This window comes from Homo sapiens, chromosome 11, assembly GCF_000001405.40.
Source record: "Homo sapiens chromosome 11, GRCh38.p14 Primary Assembly".
NCBI lineage: Eukaryota > Metazoa > Chordata > Mammalia > Primates > Hominidae > Homo > Homo sapiens.
In genome coordinates, this window is record NC_000011.10 from 84,717,704 (window position 1) to 84,736,871 (window position 19,168).

General features: G+C 37.6%; 1 protein-coding gene and 1 long non-coding RNA gene across 36 annotated transcripts in view; one reads left to right on the top strand and one right to left on the bottom strand.

The window, feature by feature from the left end:
- DLG2 (discs large MAGUK scaffold protein 2) overlaps positions 1–19,168 on the bottom strand; it is a 2,173,362-nt gene that overhangs the window by 1,262,692 nt on the left and 891,502 nt on the right. For 8 of the 34 annotated variants that reach the window (NM_001351276.2, XM_017017265.3, XM_017017281.3 and 5 more), the window contains exon 1: positions 2,593–3,239. The exons of the other annotated variants lie outside the window; for them this stretch is intronic. In NM_001351276.2, coding sequence (NP_001338205.1) covers positions 2,593–2,694 — 102 coding nt within the window. In that variant the 5' untranslated portion in view covers positions 2,695–3,239. Of the gene's footprint in view, positions 1–2,592; positions 3,240–19,168 lie in introns of those variants that run through there. 34 annotated transcript variants of the gene reach the window in all.
- Positions 2,709–19,168, top strand: part of LOC124902727 (uncharacterized) — an 80,292-nt gene continuing 63,832 nt past the window's right edge. The window contains exon 1 of one of the 2 annotated variants that reach the window (NR_189147.1): positions 2,709–2,850. This is a non-coding gene — a long non-coding RNA (uncharacterized LOC124902727). Of the gene's footprint in view, positions 2,851–3,083; positions 3,179–19,168 lie in introns of those variants that run through there. The other variant, NR_189146.1, reaches the window with a different exon arrangement.

The following is a 19,168-nucleotide window of genomic DNA, read 5'->3' on the forward strand; positions in this document are numbered from 1 at the left end:
ATCTTAATAACAGTGGGAGCAGTTTCTCCTATAAGTAATAAGCCCACCTCAGTGAAGCTATGAAAATAATTAAGGCCATATAAGCAACAATCATTTGATGAATTTATACATAGTAAGTACTGCATGCATCTCATTTAACTGTTATTTCTCACAATGACATAGTAATATATACTGCAGTAGTTATTGCTGTGGCCACTTTACATATGAAGAAACTGAGACTTACATAAATCATATCAATAGTAAGTATAAAATTTAGCTTTGAAACTTAAGCCTGTCTGTGAGGTAAATTTTGCATATTATTTTCTGTTGTCATCTGTCAGATAATGTTGAAGAACTTCACTAGGAGGAAGGCTACAGTAGAAAGTCCCAATACTCTTTCCATATTTAAGATTATAAGATAGAATCCTTATGTCAACCCATCTATAATTAACCTTCTGTTAAGTATGGTTATAATATAATAATTGATCCCATTATAAAGGGATTTGAGAATTATCTTATTCAAATACTTTGCAAAATAAGATGGGTTAGAGTCTCTAAAAGCATTATTTTATTTTCACATAACATTAATTTATTTTTCAAAAAACGATGTCTGCAAACACACATGACATAGGTGTTTCACTCTATTGACATGAATCTCTCTCATAAAGTGAATTTGTTAAATCCGAATACCAAAAGGAAGAGAACATAAAGAAAGTTAAACTAATGTATTTCCTTAGCCTTAAAAAAAAAAGTGTGTGCTTGAAATTATTTTAATTCCCTCCAATATGGTTTGAAAGTTAGGGGAAAACCTAACAGCATAAAAGAAACTTGTTTGTAAATGAACTTGAAGGGTCGAATGCATATTCAACAACATTCTCTACACCAATGGCTTATCTTATTTGATTATTAGCTTGTGTTTAATTTCCCTTGACAAATAATTCACCTTTGTTAAATATCATTTAGCACCGCTAAGTAATTCTTGTAAGTTCATGGGAATGGATTTTAAACAGTAGCCATTGCAAGGATGCTACTGTAAATGCAGTTAGGAGAGTGAATAAAAGCATGAGGTAGGGGTGGCAGGTTGTATGGGAGAGAACCTAACTCCTTAGTTATTGGTGCTATTCATTCACATACATCTTCCTGACAGTGATGAACACACAAACCTTCAACAATTCTAAGATCTCTTCGGGGTTTCCAAAGGAACAACAAGCTACTCTTTAGTATGGGCAATATATTTTTTAACCAACCCTACAGTGTAACCTATCATATTGAGTAGAAAAACATAAATCTCTGGCAATAATATTATCATTCAATGACTTCATGAAAGACATAACCAGAGATTGTTAGAGCTGGCAGGTGCCTCAGAGATAATCTCATCCACAGTCCTCATTTTACAGAAGAAAATCTGAGGCCCAGAGAAGATTCTCTAGGCATAGCCAATATAAGACTTAAAATCCTGACTCCCAATTTTTCCGTTAAGCTTACACCTCCTGTGAGCACTATCCATGAAGTTCAGTGTGTGTGTTTCATTAACTTTACTGCCTAAGGTGCTTACCAGCTGTCCAATCCAATCTCTGGTGTTATCTTTCAGAAAAATAGGAATTATGTGATATACATTCACTTAGAGAAGTCAAACTTCAGTTATTTCAGATGAAGAAAGCTCTCTCTCTTTCTCTCTCTCTCTCCTTAGACAGTCACCATAGTAGCCACATGAAGTGTTTTATATAAATAAGCTGGACAAATCCACTGGCTTTTCACAACAAAAAGAAGTGAAGACTTGTAACTTACAGTAACAGGACATGCACTCAGGCCATTAATGGGCTAAAACTGTTCAAACACCAAGTTCTATGCATCTTTTTCAAGGAGTGCGTCGTCAGGTCCAACAAGGAAGCACCATTAATATATTTCAGAAAAGGAGCAATGAATGATAACCTGTTTTAAAAACCTTCAAACCTCATTTCTCTGGGAACACCAATCACCTTTACAAAAATCTGGGGTGGGACAGTTATTTACTACAAACTTCACTGAGTAACTGCGCCACCTCTTGATAAAATTTGTTTGTTGATTTCAAGTGGATTGTATAAAAGGGAAAAGCATGCAACTGGGGGCAACCTGAGCCTAGCTCCAGATTTTCTGTCTAAAATAAAAATAAGCTGTTTATCTTAAAAAATGTCAGTTTATCTAGAGTTCATCGACCACCCCACTTACTCCTGCTAGTTAGCCCAGTGGGTTGGGGCTCTAGGTGGTAGTAACCTGAGATGAGTTCAGGAGCTCCCAAATTAGCAGTCTGGAGCCCAGTCACTAGCTAAATGCATAAGGAGATCCCAAGCAGAGAGCCACCCAAGGTGCCCCATTTCCGAGCTGCATCTGCTCTTGTAGCCTCTGTATGTTAGAGACCAGGGTCCCATCACCATTGAGTTATGAGCCCAACATCGGACGCCAGAAAATCAGTGCGATCTCTTGGCCCCCAAACCCAGCTGGCTCCCAGAAAGAGCAGAGCAGTCGCAGCTTCTGTCACTCTCCCAACAGGCAGACATAAACAAGCAACAGAAGGAATTGTTCTCTCCCCCGAGGGAGGCAACATGCATTAAAAAGACATGAACCTCTTCCTACCTTGCATCCAAACATCAACGATAAAGTGTTGTTGGTGCAAGCAACTTTGCAGTGGCAAATCATTGGTGTAAAACAGTCAGGGTCCTTAACAACAGGGGACATTCCTTCCGGGCTGCGGCAGTGGCAGCTCGCTGGGGGACCCAAACGCTGTGCTCGCCGGGCACATGGAGCGACAGCCTAGACCGAGCTGCCGCTTCGATCACTGCCCCCTGCACCCGCCGTGGCCATCCCGGAGCCCCGGTGGAAGCAACGCCGCGGGCAAGTACCGAGCCTCTCGGGGTCTCCCTTCCCTGGGGAACGAGGCGTGTGGGGGGAGGGACAGAACCAAGAAAGAATTTTTCCCCCTACGGTGAATTTGGGGGAGGTAAAATAAAAATAAAATAAAATAAAAATAAACCATAAAAATAAAAGGAAGCCAGGCACTTAGAGGAGGGTTCAAAGGAGGTGGGGCAGTATTAGCATGTAAAAGGATGTGCCCGCCTACTCTCCCCAGTCACACAAGATTGTCATGCGAGCTGAAGGGGGCTGAAATTATTCCCTCTGAAGAAGAAGAAGAAGAAGAAAACATACTGCAGCTCCCGATTTGGTAAAAAGCCAGTGGCTTGCTGCAATCCAGAGTCACTGTGGGGAGCGCTGGCCGGGCAAGTGGGGTGGGAGGAAGGGGCTGAGAAAGGGAGGAAGCGCTGTGCTTGCCAGACTGGCCCTGCCTTTGGGCGCTCTTGGTGCCACGAAGGAGTCCCCAGCGTGGGAGCGCGGGACCTCCCCGCGCTGACGTGACCCCGAGACTGCATTTGGCCCCCACCGCTACAGCCACCCGAGGGTAGAAGACCTCCGAGGCCGACTTCCCGGGAAGGGGAGGCCCGCTCGGAGCGCGGCAGGGAACTTCCTCCCAGCCCTTTGACAACAGCATGCCTTGCCGGGGGCAGAGGGCCAGCAAAGAAATCTGGGGTAGAAAACAGGCTCAAAATGATTTCGCTGGTGCCCTACGAGGTTGACTTCTGGTTCAGCGAGCCTACTCACTCCCTGGGTAGGGAAGCGGCCTCAGAACCAAGGCTTTATTTGACATAACATTTGTCAAACTCAAAAAAGAAGTGTCTGCCCCTTCCCCACCTTGATGTCTTTGAGACTCCAGGAAACCCCAGAAGTAGTATTTATGTTGTTCCAGAAGTATGAATGACAAGACTGATGGATGTTTTATTGTTTGTTTGTTTTTTTGTTTTTAACTGAGGCTGTCAAAATTGCAGAAAGACCAAAAAAAAAAAAAAATCAGCATGTGGCTGGCTGGCACAGCTGCAAAATTGCTTATGGAAGACAAAAACAAATGTGATAAGAAGGGTGTGGGGGTAGGAAGTGGGTAAAACTAGCACTCTTTGGGTGCCACCTGGGTGCCTGGCACTATGCCTCACAGATGGTTGGTAGAAAGAGAGCAAAACATCCGAGTTTGGAAACAGATTCTGGCTCTGGTGCTAGATGTGGCTTTGTGTAAGTCATTTACATTATCCAAACCCCTGTTTGCTTACCTGTAACTAGATGGTATTAACCCCTAACCTAAAGGGTTGTCAGGAAGACTAGACAGATATACTGAACAACACATTCCTGTGGTAAGCCCCAGTACATGGTAGCTGCTCTTAACTTACATAGCTTATTTCATTTCTTAGCTTCAGAGGTAGATATTATTTGACATATTTTTTTTCTAGGGGAAGAAACTGAGCCCCTTAGTGTTATATCACTTGCTCAAGTCACATAATCAATAAACCTGAAGGTTAGGTTCAAAGAAAAGTAGTAGAGGAGAGTTTAGAAAACAGCATCATGAGAGACATAACACACTTCTCCAGAAACATGTTCCAAAGTCTTCAGATTTATTTGGGAAGGACCAGGACTGTCACATTTACATGAATGTGGTAATTCCAAGACACTTAACAATTTGGTGCTAAATTCAGAAATCCCACCTGAAATACAGGAACAACATAGTCAAAAGTATCCATGGCAAACTGTTAGAACCACATCCTCCTGATGCAATTCCATCAGAATGTCAGACCACCTATATCCGAAACTAATAAGAGCCTCAATATCATGGTATGCTTCCTCCTTAGAAAGTTTAAATGTATTGGTTAGAACAAAAGAACATACCAACTTGTAAACCTTTAAGTCAAAGACAGTGCCTTATAACATGCCTTTGCCCCACCCATATCCAAAATACTCTCGTCCCTTCTCCCAAGTTAATAGAAAATAAACCTGATTATGTCATAATTCTCTATGATGCTTATTATAAATATGGATTATGAAGCCCAACCCTACATTTTCATCCCATAGGCCAGTAGAATGTCAATAAATCTACATTTTAATCAGCCCCCTTGTGAGAGGAATGCAAGTCCTCTTTATGAAATAAGACTTATCTGAAGGAAACTCAATATGGAACAAAGTATGAGCAAAATTCAACACGGAAAGACCCTCAGAGTTGAGTTACACCTGGTTCTAACTGTAGAGGGCAGCCATGCCTAAGGTTTTGGGATTCTTACACTAAGTGCAGAAGTCCTTGCCTAGTAGATTTCTCCATTAGGAATCAGTACTGATTCAATCTAATGAATAGCTGGAGGGACTCAGGAGGTCTAATCTATACGTTCTTAAATGTACTAGGTCACATTTTAGGAGCAAAACTCTGGTCTGAGGCCTTCTGTGAAAATTTAAAGTCAAATGTACAGATTAAGTATATCCTTTACCATTTTATTCCTTTATGTTAGCATAAAAAGTGTGATTGTGTGAGCACTCCCACCTACAGAGCATCTATAATTACGGCTGGTTTTTCCAAGAGAATAGATCCTAAAAAAGCTGTACAACATTTCCCTTATTCATTAGCCTATAATTTGGATTTCAAACACCCCAAAAGTATTGTATGCTCCATATTGTGATGTTCCAATAATATCTAACACAGTCTTTCCCTGATGAATTACCCAAGCTAAAGCTGACCTCCTATTCTAGGGCAGCATTAAGGCTGCTATGTGCAAGTTATTCCCCATTTTACAGTTTGTGCTAGTTTAGATTGATAAAGTGAAATGACAAAATATAAAACAAAATGTATATTTCATTTCCTTGACTTTTTATGTTTAACTTTAATCAGTGAGAGTTCATTTCTCTGTATGTGCATGTGTATGTGTTTATCTGTTATCCGTTTATATGTATTAGAGAAAATGCTTTCCCTTAATTCTCCTCTCCAAATAATAACTCTGGGGTAAATTGGAGGGGAAGATGAGGGGGAAAGTGGTTTCCATGACAATGCATTCCATAGTTACAGCCAGTAACCACTATTATTAAAATAAATGAATTACTGTTACCTTAAGATACCAACACATTGCATTACTGGTTTGAAAAGCACTAATTTGAGAGTGTACTGCATGGGGGTGTACTGCAATATTTTTAGGAGATATTACTAGGAAATGCAAGGAGATGACGCATTCATTTTTATAGTCAAAATAACTACTCTTAATTAGACCTTTCAATGATTGATAAAATTTACAGTTCTTCCTAATAATTATCACTTTTATAAAATGATGCATCACAACAATACACTATTAAGCATTTCTCCTAATGACAACTTTCCTCAAAATGGACTCATAATTACAAAAAACAGGATTATCAATAAATGTAACCAGGTTTTAATTTTGATCTTGTATTTATTATTGTTATACTTAATCAGAAACTGGGACACAGTAAGAGGCATTAGCTAGTTATGCATCTTTTTTCTTTGCTGATCCTTTTCATAGCAATTTTTAAAAAAGGGGTTGTTCATGTTGCGAGGGAAAAGAATAGATTGGCTACTAGGAGCCATGGTGCTGTTTCCTACTCTCTGCCTCTGTGTGACTTTGAGCAAGCTACTCAGCCTCTCTAAGCTTCAGTTTCCTTTTTTATTAAGATGAAATAGGTATACTAGATTATTTCTAAGTTTGCTTCCAATGTTGAAGTTCTCTGAGTGATCTTCTAAATACATTTTTATGAATGTAAAGTAAATTTGAGAAACCATTTTGTTCAGTTACCTATCTTCAGAAAATTTGCTCTTCTATAACACTTACTATTTGATAGGCACTAATATCATGCTTGCTATGTACACTGTTCTGAATTCCACAGAGTGCTAGAGCCAATCCTACTCATGACAGCTGGTTGTGTGTAACTCGGTCTAATTCCACATTCAGTGACATCATGCTAGTAGCTTTGAATCAGTCATGAGAGAATATTTATACCATGTAAACTAACAAACACTACAATTCAGGACTTTTTTCTGCAAAAAACCTTTTACCAGTATAGCACTGGTCTAAGTACTTTAACTACATTAATATATTTAACCATCACAATCACTCAATCTTACCAAAAAAAGGAAAGCAAATGACAGGGCGAGATTAAGTAATGCCCAAGGTAACAAAATTGGTATACTAATCAGCTAAATGAACCAACTAACAAAAATATTTTTGATGACTTTCAATCACAAATGTTTATTTCTTCCTCATGTTAGATGTCCTTCATAGCTTAGCTATCATTCTAGCCCATGTTGTCCATTGGCAGAAGAGTACGGTCTATCAGTAGCTTCTGTCAGATAGAAGAGTAGCCACTATCTAATGTTCTCATGGTGGAAGGAAAAATGATCAATGGCTGAATATGCAGCAGATCTTAAAACATCTGTTCAGACATTAAAAACATCTTCCAGCTTACATTTTATTAGCTAAGGAATGTCATGTGGTCAACCTGATGACAAAGGTTGGGGAATGATAATTCTTTCAGGGGGAGGAAAGAGAGAATATTGATAACAGTAATATAAGAGACTATGGCTTATTCGAGTGACAGAATTGAGATCTGAAGCCAAGCCACCTGATTTGAGGATCTAAGGTCTTAACAAATAGACTATCCCAGCTATCACTAATAGCTAATACATCCCAATTTTTCATCTACTCTCTATAATAGTGTTTGTTATTTAGTAACTCTTTGAGAGAATTCTTCCTTATGACCCCTATAAGGAAAGCATAGTTTTTAGATAACACATGAACTTTGGAGACAATCAAACATATAAGGTTTTGGCATTATTAGCTGTGTGATTTCAACCTTTAAATCCCTTTCCCTCTCCTCTCCTACTGTAAATTGAAGTCCACTTATTTCATTTAATCTTTAGTAGAGATGTTTTCATGTAAGTGGAACATTGCATTTTTATCATTGAGTTTCCTGAAACATGTAAGGCAGAGAGGGATATGAATGTCTTTCTGCCATCAATGAGTTTACAAACCAGTTGACTAGGTTACTCTGAAATGAGAGTAACGAAGCTCTTCCTAACAGTAACAAAGTATATACAATTAAGAACGAACAAATATACTCAAAGTCCATACAAATGATTGACCAATCTAGTTAACTTATCTAAGCTACCATTTCTTGTTCCGTAAAATGGTGATAATACTATAGCATTGCTATAAGGCTTGAATGAGATAACATATTGCAAAATGCCTGTCATCTTTATCTGGTTTGTATTAGCCACTCAGTAAATTATAAAGGCTTTGTGTCACTTGTCTGATTTTTTTTTTAATGAAAGTTAACAGAAAAGAATAAACCTATTAGACTCACCCAATATGTATAATCTCTTTATACTGAACAATTCTAAATCTTTAACCTTTCTTAACAAGTTTTACTGTCTCAGTGACTCTCCTTAGACCCTTTCTCAGCTCTTCCATACTCCTCTTACTGAAGAACACACAAATGCAATGATACATTCTCAGACCCCATATAAATGGACTCTAATATGCATCATGTTCCCCCATAATTGTCAACCCTTTGTGTTCACTGTAATTTATTTATTATTATTATACTTTAAGTTCTGAGGTACATGTGCAGAATGTGCAGTTTTGTTACATAGGTATACACGTGGCATGGTGGTTTGCTGCAACCATCATCCCGTCTCCTACGTTAGGTATTTCTCCTAATGCTATCCCTCCCATACCCCCTACCCCCAGGCAGGCCCTGGTGTGTGATGTTCCCCTCCCTATGTCCACGTGTTCTCATTGTTCAACTCCCACTTATGAGTGAGAACATGCGGTGCTTGGTTTTCTGTTCTTGTGATAGTTTGCTGAGAATTGTGGTTTCCAGCTTCATCCATGTCCCTGCAAAGGACATAAAGTCACCCTTTTTATGGCTGCATAGTATTCCATGGTGTATATGTGCCACACTTTCTTTATCTGGTCTATTTTTGATGGACATTTGGGTTGGTTCCAAGTCTTTGCTCTTGTGAATAGTGCTGCAGTAAACATGCGTGTGTATGTGTCTTTATAGTAGAATGATTTATAATCCTTTGGGTATACACCCAGTAATGAGATTGCTGGGTCAAACGGTATTTCTGGTTCTAGATCCTTGAGGAATTGCCACATGGTCTTCCACAATAGTTGAACTAATTTACACTCCCACCAACAGTGTAAAAGTCTCCCTATTTCTCCACATCCTCTCCAGCATCTGTTGTTTCCTGACTTTTTAATGATTGCCATTCTGACTGGCATGAGATGGTGGTTTTGATTTGCATTTCTCTAATAACCAGTGATAATGAGCATTTTTCATATGTCTGTTGGCTGCATAAATGTCTTCTTTTGAGAAGTGTCTGCTTATATCTTTTGCCCAGTTTTTGATAGGGTTGTTGCCTTGTAAATTTGTTTAAGTTCCTTGTAGATTCTGGATATTAGCCCTTTGTCAGATGGATAGATTGCAAAAATTTTCTCCCATTCTGTAGGTTGCCTGTTCACTCTGATGATAGTTTCTTTTGCTGTGCAGAAGCTCTTTAGATTAATTAGATCCTGTTTGTCAATTTTGGCTTTTGTTGCCATTGTTTTTGGTGTTTTAGACGAAGTCTTTGCCCATGCCTATGTCCTGAATGGTATTGCCCAGGTTTTCTTCTAGGATTTTTACGGTCCCAGGTCTTACATTTAAGTCTTTGACCCATCTTGAGTTGATTTTTGTATAAGGTGTAAGGAACGGGTCCAGTGTCAGTTTTCTGCATATGGCTTGCCAGTTTTCCCAATGCCATTTATTAAATAGGGAATCTTTTTCCCATGGCTTGTTTGTGTCAGGTTTGTCAAAGATCTGATGGTTTTATATGGTGGTGTTATGTCTGAGGCCTCTGTTCTGTTCCATTGGTGTATATATCTGTTTTGCTTCCAGTACCATGCTGTTTTGGTTACTGTAGCCTTGTAGTACAGTGTGAAGTAAGATAGCATGATGCCTCCAGCTTTCTTCTTCTTGTCCAGGATTTTCTTGGCATTTGCAGGCTCTTTTTTGGTTCCATATGAACTTTAAAGTAGTTTTTTTTTCCAATTCTGTGAAGAAAGTCAGTGGTAGGTTGATGGAGATAGCACTGAATCTATAAATTACTTTGGGCAGTATGGCCATTTTCCCAATATTGATTAATTCTATCCATGAGAATGAAGGTTTTTACATTTGTTTGTGTCCTCTCTTATTTCCTTGAGCGGTGGTTTGTAGTTCTCCTTGAAGAGGTCCTTCACATTCCTTGTAAGTTGTATTCCTAGGTATTTTATTCTCTCTGTAGCAATTGTGAATAGGAGTTAACTCATGATTTGGCTCTCTGTCTGTTATTGGTGTATAGAAATGCTTGTGATTTTGGCACATTGATTTTGTATCCTGAGACTTTGCTGAGGTTGCTTATCAGCTTAAGGAGATTCTGGACTGAGACGATGGGGTTTTCTAAATATACAATCATGTAATCTGCAGACACAATTTGACTTCCTCTCTTCCTATCTGAATACCCTTTATTTCTTTATCTTGCCTGATTGCCCTGGCCAGAACTTCCAACACTATGTTGAATAGGAGTGGTGAGAGAGGGCATCCTTGTCTTGTGCCAATTTTCAAAGGGAATGCTTCCAGTTTTTGCCCATTTAGTATGATATTGGCTGTGGGTTTGTCATAAATACCTCTTATTATTTTGAGATACGTTCCATTGATACCTAGTTTATTGAGAGTTTTTAGCATGAAGGGGTGTTGAATTTTGTCAAAGGTCTTTTCTGCATCTATTGAGATAATCATGTGGTTTTTGTCCTTGGTTCTGGTTGTGTGATGGATTATGTTTATTGAAAGGCATATGTTGAACCAGCCTTACATCCCAGGGATGAAACCAACTTGATCGTGGTGGATAAGCTTCCTGATGTGCTGCTGGATTTGGTTTGCCAGTATTTTATTGAGGACCTTCGCATCGATGTTCATCAGGAATATTGGCCTGATATTTTCTTTTTTTGTTATGTCTCTGCCAGGTGTTGGTATCAGGATGATGCTGGCCTCATGAAATGAGTTAGGGAGGATTCCCTCTTTTTCTATTGTTTGGAATAGTTTCAGAAGGAATGGTACCAGCTCCTCTTTGTACCTCTGGTAGAATTTGGCTGTGAATCTGTCTGGTCTTGGACTTTTTTTGGTTGTTAGGCTATTAAGTACTGCCTCAATTTCAGAACTTGTTATTGGTTTATTCAGGGATTCAACTTCTTCCTGGTTTAGACATGTGAGGGTGCATGTGTCCAGGAATTTATCCATTTCTTCTAGATTTTCTAGTTTATTTGCATGGAGGTGTTTATAGTATTCTCTGATGGTAGTTTGTATTTCTGTGGGATCAGTGAGGGTAGCCCCTATATCATTTTTTATTGCATCTATTTGATTCTTCTCTCTTTTCTTCTTTATTAATCTGGCTAGCAGTCTATTTTGTTGATCTTTTCAAAAACCCAGCTCCTGGATTCATTGATTTTTTGAAGGTTTTTTTGGGTCTGTATCTCCTTCAGTTCTGCTCTGATCTTAGTTATTTCTTGTCTTCTGCTAGATTTTGAATTTGTTTGCTGTTGCTTTTTAGTTCTTTTAATTGTGATGTTAGGGTGTCAATTTTAGATCCTTCCTTCTTTCTCTTGTGGGCATTTAGTGCTATGTTTCCCTCTACACACTGCTTTAAATGTGTCCCAGGGATTCCGGTACATTGTGTCTTTGTTCTCATTGGTTTCAAAGAACATCTTTATTTCTGCCTTCGTTATTTACCCAGTAGTCATTAAGGAGCAGGTTTTCAGTTTCCATGTAGTTGTGTGGTTTTGAGTGAGTTTCTTAATCCTGAGTTCTAATTTGATTGCACTGTGGTCCGAGAGACTGTTTGTTATGATTTCCGTTCTTTTGCATTTGCTGAAGCGTGTTTTACTTCCAATTATGTGGTTAATTTTAGAATAAGTGTAATGAGGTGCTGAGTAGAATGCATATTCTGTTGAATTGGAGTGGAGAGTTCTGTTCACCGTAATTTCTAAGTCCTCTATGTCCACTCACCTATCCCCAAGTATAGACTACTTTGAGCGAGTCACACGTAGTGACTGCTTGGCCTTTATCTAAGTCATACTTAGAATGTTTGCATGACCTTGACTTGAAATAGTTTTCTTATTTAGCTGATTAGTCAATAAATGGATGAATAAAGAACCAATAAATAAGTGATCTTGGCCAGGCTTTCCACTGCTTCCACCTAGGCCCTAGGTGAAATATTGTGAAGATCTTTGAGTCCTGACCCAGCTCCCCTCCCTGCCACCTCCTAGGTAGAAGGAGTACACTCTTTATTGAAGAAATGCCAGCCTATTCGTTCTGAATCAATTTTGACATTTTGTTTTAGCACCAAGTGTTTTTTGAAATAATTATTGTCCCCTCACAATTTTGCCTTTGAGACTTCTCATGACAGTCACTTTCAGCCTTGTTTCCATTTTGAAAAAGCAACTCCGAAACACTACCCTCTACACCACCTCTGAGAATATTCTTAGTGGCAAAATTCAAATAAAAGAAGAACTCTTCTTAGGCCTCATTGTTCACCAAATTTGATGTCAATGTTGAAATGATAAAAGTTGGATCTATGTTCCAGTCCCAGTTTGGACACTTGCTATGCAATTCTGAGTTAGTTACTTAATCTGAAAGTTAATTTTCTTAAGTACAAAAAAAGGGGAGGAGGTTGTTGAGTAATAATACCTCTGTCACAGGGTTCCTATGAGAATTAACTAAAATGCCACATGTAAAAGTACCTATCAAAATGCTTGGCACATACTATTAATAAATGCTTAATAATATCCATTTGTCCACTCACTGATTCTTTTATTCATTCATTCATTACACACCAAAGCTAGCCAAGAAACTTATTTAAAACAAATGTCAACCAAGCACAGCAAAATTCCTGTGAAATCACTAATTCTATTTTTATATTGTGTTGCCCATCTGTGAAACAAAGGCAAATTGATCATTGTCAAAAAAATATACTAAATCAGAGTTCAACTTTGAAAGCAGCAATTCATGGGAAGACTGACAAGAACATGGCTCATTTTAAATGGCTTTATATTGCCACTGTGTGGTTCTCTACTACAAATAGATTTTCCTTATCAGCTCCCTTTCATCTGAACAATAGATGGCTCTTCTAGCTGCATGAACTAAATGAGGTGTCTTACATACCCCCAGGAACACCACTCTATTATGTCACAAGAAGGGGCCCTCAGCTAATCATACAGCAAGTTGAATGATTACTCAATGAAACAATTCCTCCCCTAAAACTGTGAAGACATCAGATTTCTCATACAATCTCCAGCTATGTATCACAGATTTAAGATAATGATACAATTAACACTTTTTCTGTTAATGAGCTGCAAGCATAATGGTTCAAGTCCCTGATGGTACCAAATTTTAAGTACAGCCCACCTAGATTCTTATGTCCAGTTTGTTTAAAATAAGATTGTTATAAGAAAATTACCTTTTGGTACAGTGTGTGAGTTAGTTGTATTACATGAATGCTGGTGCTTTCTTCCTTTAATACAAGGACTGTCAATCTCAAATGTAATGCATTGGAAGATGTGCATTGTATTTGCTTTAGTTAGCATCTGATCATGGAAAAACTTTGCTTGGTTGACGACGTTAGCACATTAACTTTATCTCCCCCTTTTGGTTACTAATTACATACTTTGAAGTATCTACTATGTGCTAGACACTAGGCCAAGTTCGGGATACAGTGGTTAAGTACAGATCAATGCAGTGCTGGCCTCATGGAGATTACAAACCAATGGAGAAGGCAGATGGGGATAAGTGCTTCGAGGAGAGCTACATGGCTCTATAAGAGCATATATAGGGGAATCTCATCTAAAAATGGAGGTAGGAAGGCATAATTAGGAGAGTGATAAGTGAGTTGAGATAAGAAAAATAAGTGGGAATTAACTAGACAAACGGAAAGGGGAAAAGCATCTCAAATAGAGGGAATAGGATATACAAAGAATATGTGGTACCAGCAAACAAGAACATGGGAAGGACTGAGATAAACGTAATACAGAAAATAAGGGGAAATATCAAGTGAACAGAGGCTGAAGAAGACAGTAGAGGTGAGACTAGTCAGATTATATTTAAAATGTTTGTTCTTATTCTAAAAGCCTTAGGAAACTACAGAAGAAATATTTTAAAGCAGATTTATTGGCGTAGAACTGACATAAAATAAACTGGAAATATTTACATTTAAATCTGGTAATTTTCAACATACGTATACATCTGTGAAACTGTCAACATAATCAAGATAATAAACATATCTATCACCTTCAAACGTTTCCACGTGCCCCTTTATAACCTCTACCCCTCATACTCTTTCCCAATCCCCCATCCCAAAGCAATCACTCATCTGCTCTCTGTCACTAAAGATTTATTTGCATTTTCAAGAGGTTTATATAAATGAAATCATACAATATGTGTTTGGAGTCTGAATTTTTTCCACTCAACATATCTATTCTGAGGTTTATCTAGATGGTTGCATGTGCCAATAGTTTACTTCTTTTCTTATTGCCAAGTAATATTACATTGTAAAGATATATTACATAATTTGTCTATATTTGTTGATGAACACTTGAGTCACTTTCAGTTTGAAGTTATATAGCTGCTACGAATATCTGTGCATAAGTCTCTGCATGAACTGATATATTTCCTTTTCTTCTGGAATGGATTTGCTTGATAACCTGATGAATATGTGTTTATATTTTAAGAAACTGTTAAATTGATTTTCAAAGTTCTTGTTTCATTTTACATTCCCACCAGCAATGTATGAGAATTCTAGATCCTTCACATCTTCACCATCACCTGGTATTGTCAATCATTTTCACTGTAGCCATTCTAATAGATGTGTAATAGTACCTCATTATAGTTTTAATTTGCCTTTCCTTAATGACTCATTGTGTTGAACATCTTTTCATGTGGTTTTTTTCCCTGCTATCTTTGGTAAAGTATCAATTCAAATCTTTTACCTACCTTTAAAATTGTTAGTTTCTTCTTAAGTTTTGAGAGTTTTATGTATATATATAAATATATATTTATTATACTTTTAAGTTCTAGGGTACATGTGCACAATGTGCAGGTTGTTATGTATGTATACATGTGCCATGTTGGTGTGCTGCACCCATTAACTCGTCATTTACATTAGGTATATCTCCTAATGCTATCCCTCCCCCCACCCACCCCACAACAGGCCCCGGTGTGTGATGTTCCCCTTCCTGTGTCCAAGTGTTCTCATTGTTCAATTCCCACCTATGAGTGAGAACATGTGATGTTTGGTTTTTTGTCCTTGCGATAGTTTGCTGAGAATGATGGTTTCCAGCTTCATCCATGTCCCTACAAAGGACATGAACTCATCACTTTTTATGGCTGCATAGTATTCCATGGTGTATATGTGCCACATTTTCTTAATCCAATCTATCATTGTTGGACATTTGGGTTGGTTCCAAGTCTTTGCTATTGTGAATAGTGCCACAATAAACATATGTGTGCATGTGTCTTTATAGCAGCATGATTTATAATCCTTTGGGTATATACCCAGTAATGGGATTGCTGGGTCAAATGGTATTTTTAGTTCTAGATCCCTGAGGAATCGACACACTGACTTCCACAATGGTTGAACTAGTTTACAGACCCACCAACAGTGTAAGAGTGTTCCTATTTCTGCACATCCTCTCCAGCACCTGTTGTTTCCTGACTTTTTAATGATCGCCATTCTAACTGGTGTGAGATGGTATCTCATTGTGGTTTTGATTTGCATTTCTCTGATGGCCAGTGATGATGAGCATTTTTTACTGTGTCTGTTGGCTGCATAAATGTCTTCTTTTGAGAAGTGTCTATTCACATCCTTCGCCCACTTGTTGATAGGGTTGTTTCTTTCTTGTAAATTTGTTTCATTTCTTTGTAGATTCTGGATATTAGTCCCTGGTCAGATGAGTAGATTGCAAAAATTTTCTCCCATTCTGTAGGTTGCCTGTTCACTCTGAGGGTAGTTTCTTTTGCTGTGCAGAAGCTCTTTAGTTTAATTAAATCCCATTTGTCAATTTTGGCTTTTGTTGCCATTGTTTTTGGTGTTATAGACATGAAGTCCTTGCCCATGCCTATGTCCTGAATGGTAATGCCTAGGTTTTCTTCTAGGGTTTTTATGGTTTTAGGTCTAACACTTAAGTCTTTAATCCATCTTGAACTAATTTTTGTATAAGGTGTAAGGAAGGGATCCAGTTTCAGCTTTCTACATATGGCTAGCCAGTTGTCCCAGCACCATTTGTTGAATAGAGAATCCTTTCCCCATTTCTTGTTTTTGTCAGGTTTGTCAAAGATCAGATGGTTGTAGATATGTGGTATTATTTCTGAGGGCTCTGTTCTGTTCCATTGGCCTATATCTCTGTTTTGGTACCAGTACCATGCTGTTTTGGTTACTGTAGCCTTGTAATATAGTTTGAAGTCAGGTAGCATGATGCCTCCAGCTTTGTTCTCTTGGCTTAGGATTGATTTGGCAATGCGGGCTCTTTTTTGGTTCCATATGAACTTTAAAGAAGTTTTTTCCAATTCTGTGAAGAAAGTCATTGGTAGCTTGATGGGGATGGCATTCAATCTATAAATTACCTTGGGCAGTATGGCCGTTTTCATGATATTGATTCTTCCTATCCAGGAGCATGGAATGCTCTTCCATTTGTTTGTATCCTCTTTTATTTTGTTGAGCAGTGGTTTGCAGTTCTCCTTGAAGAGTTCCTTCACATCCCTTGTAAGTTGGATTCCTAGGTATTTTACTCTCTTTGAAGCAATTGTGAATGGAGTTCACTCACAATTTGGCTCTCTGTTTGTCTGTTATTGGTGTATAAGAATGCTTGTGATTTTTGCACATTGATTTTGTATCCTGAGACTTTGCTGAAGTTGCTTATCAGCTTAAGGAGATTTTGGGCTGAGACGATGGGGTTTTCTAGATATCCAATCATGTCATCTGCAGACAGGGACAATTTGACTTCCTCTTTTCCCAATTGAATACCCTTTATTCCTTTCTCCTGCCTGATTGCCCTGGCCAGAACTTCCAACACTATGTTGAATAGGAGTGGTGAGAGAGGGCATCCCTGTCTTGTGCCAGTTTTCAAAGGGAATGTTTCCAGTTTTTGCCCATTCAGCAAGATATTGGCTGTGGGTTTGTCATAAATAGCTCTTATTATTTTGAGATACATCCCATCAATACCTAATTGATTGAGAGTTTTTAGCATGAAGGGCTGTTGAATTTTGTCAAAGGCCTTTTCTGCTTCTATTGAGATAATCATGTGGTTTTTGTCTTTGGTTCTGTTTATATGTTGGATTATGTTTATTGATTTGCGTATGTTGAACCAGCCTTGCATCCCAGGGATGAAGCCAACTTGGTCATGGTGGATAAGCTTTTTGATGTGTTGCTGGATTCAGTTTGCCAGTATTTTATTCAGGATTTTTGCATCAATGTTCATCAGGGATATTGGTCTAAAATTCTCTTTTTTGATTCTGTCTCTGCCATGCTTTGGTATCAAGATGATGCTGGGCTCATAAAATGAGTTAGGGAAGATTCCTTCTTTTTCTATTGATTGGAATAGTTTCAGAAGGAATGGTACCAGCTCCTCCTTGTACCTCTGGTAGAATTTGGCTGTGAATCCGTCTGGTCCTGGACTTTTTTGGTTGGTAGGCTATTAATTATTGCCTCAATTTCAGATTCTATTATTGGTCTATTCAGAGATTCAATTTCTTCCTGGTTTAGTCTTGGGAGGATATATGTGTCAAGGAATTTACCCATTTCTTCTAGATTTTCTAGTTTATTTACGTAGAGGTGTTTATAGTATTCTCTGATGGTAGTTTGTATTTCTGTGGCATCGGTGGTGATATCCCTTTTATCATTTTTTATTGCATCTATTTGATTCTTCTCTGTTTTCTTCGTTATTAGTCTTACTAGCGGTCTTATCAATTTTGTTGATTTTCAAAAAACCAGCTCCTGGATTCATTGAATTTTTGAAGGATTTTTTTCGTCTCTAACTCCTTCAGTTCTGCTCTGATCTTAGTTATTTCTTGCCCTCTGCTAGCTTTTGAATATGTTTGCTCTTGTTTCTCTAGTTCTTTTAGTTGTGATGTTAGGGTGTCAATTTGAGATCTTTCCTGCTTTCTCTTGTGGGCATTTAGTGCTATAAATTTCCCTCTACACACTGCTAGATTCAAACCTATATTAGATATATGTTGCATATAGTTTTTCACAGTCTGTGGTTTGTCTTTTCATTCTTATCAGTGTCTTTTGAATACCAGAAGTTTTTATTATTGATGAATGCAATTTATTATTTTTTCCTTTATGGTTCATACTTTTATTTTCATATCTAAGAAATCTGTTTAACCCAAGGTCACAAAGATGTTCTTCTCTTATTTCTTCTAGAGGTTTTGTAGTTTTACATTTTGAGCAATGATCAATTTTGAGTAAATTTTTATATATGATATGAGGTATGGATCCAAGTTCATTTTTTTGCACATGTATATTTAATTGTTTCTGTATTATTTGTTGAAATGACTATCCTTTTTCCATTTAATTGTATGTCTTTGTCCTTATATGTATGGTTTAATTTTGGACTCTCCATTCTATTAATCTGTTTTGCCATCTTTCCACCAATACTATATTTTGGTTACTGCAGCTTTATAATAATTATTGAAACAACTTTGTTCTTCTTTGATCTCCAACTTTGTTCACTTTTTTTTTCAGAGCTGTTTTGACTCTCCTAGGTACTTTAAATTTTCATACAATTTTTAGAATTAACCTGTTAATTCTACACCTACAAAAATTTCAACTGGAATTTTGATTGTGTGGAATTGTGTTGAATCTTTAGATAAGGTTAGAGAGAATGAACATCTTAATGATACTGATTCTTCCAACCTATTAGCAAAGTATCTGTCTACTTTTAAGGTCTTTAATTTTACTTAATTTTACTCAGCAATATTCTATAATTTCCAATGTACTGATTTTTTTCACATATTTCATCAGATTTATTCCTAAGTATTTCATATTTTATGGTATTCTAAATGGAATTCCTTTATTGATTTTAATTTCTAACTGTTGTTAGTACGTAGAAATACAAATACAAAGTTTGTATATTGTCCTTTTATTCTGCAACATTGCTAAACTCACCTATTAGTCTGGTAGCTTTTTAAATAGATTCTATCAGATATGACATGTCATCTGTAAACAAAAATGAGTTTTACATCTTCCTTTGCTTCTTTTTCTTTACTGATTATG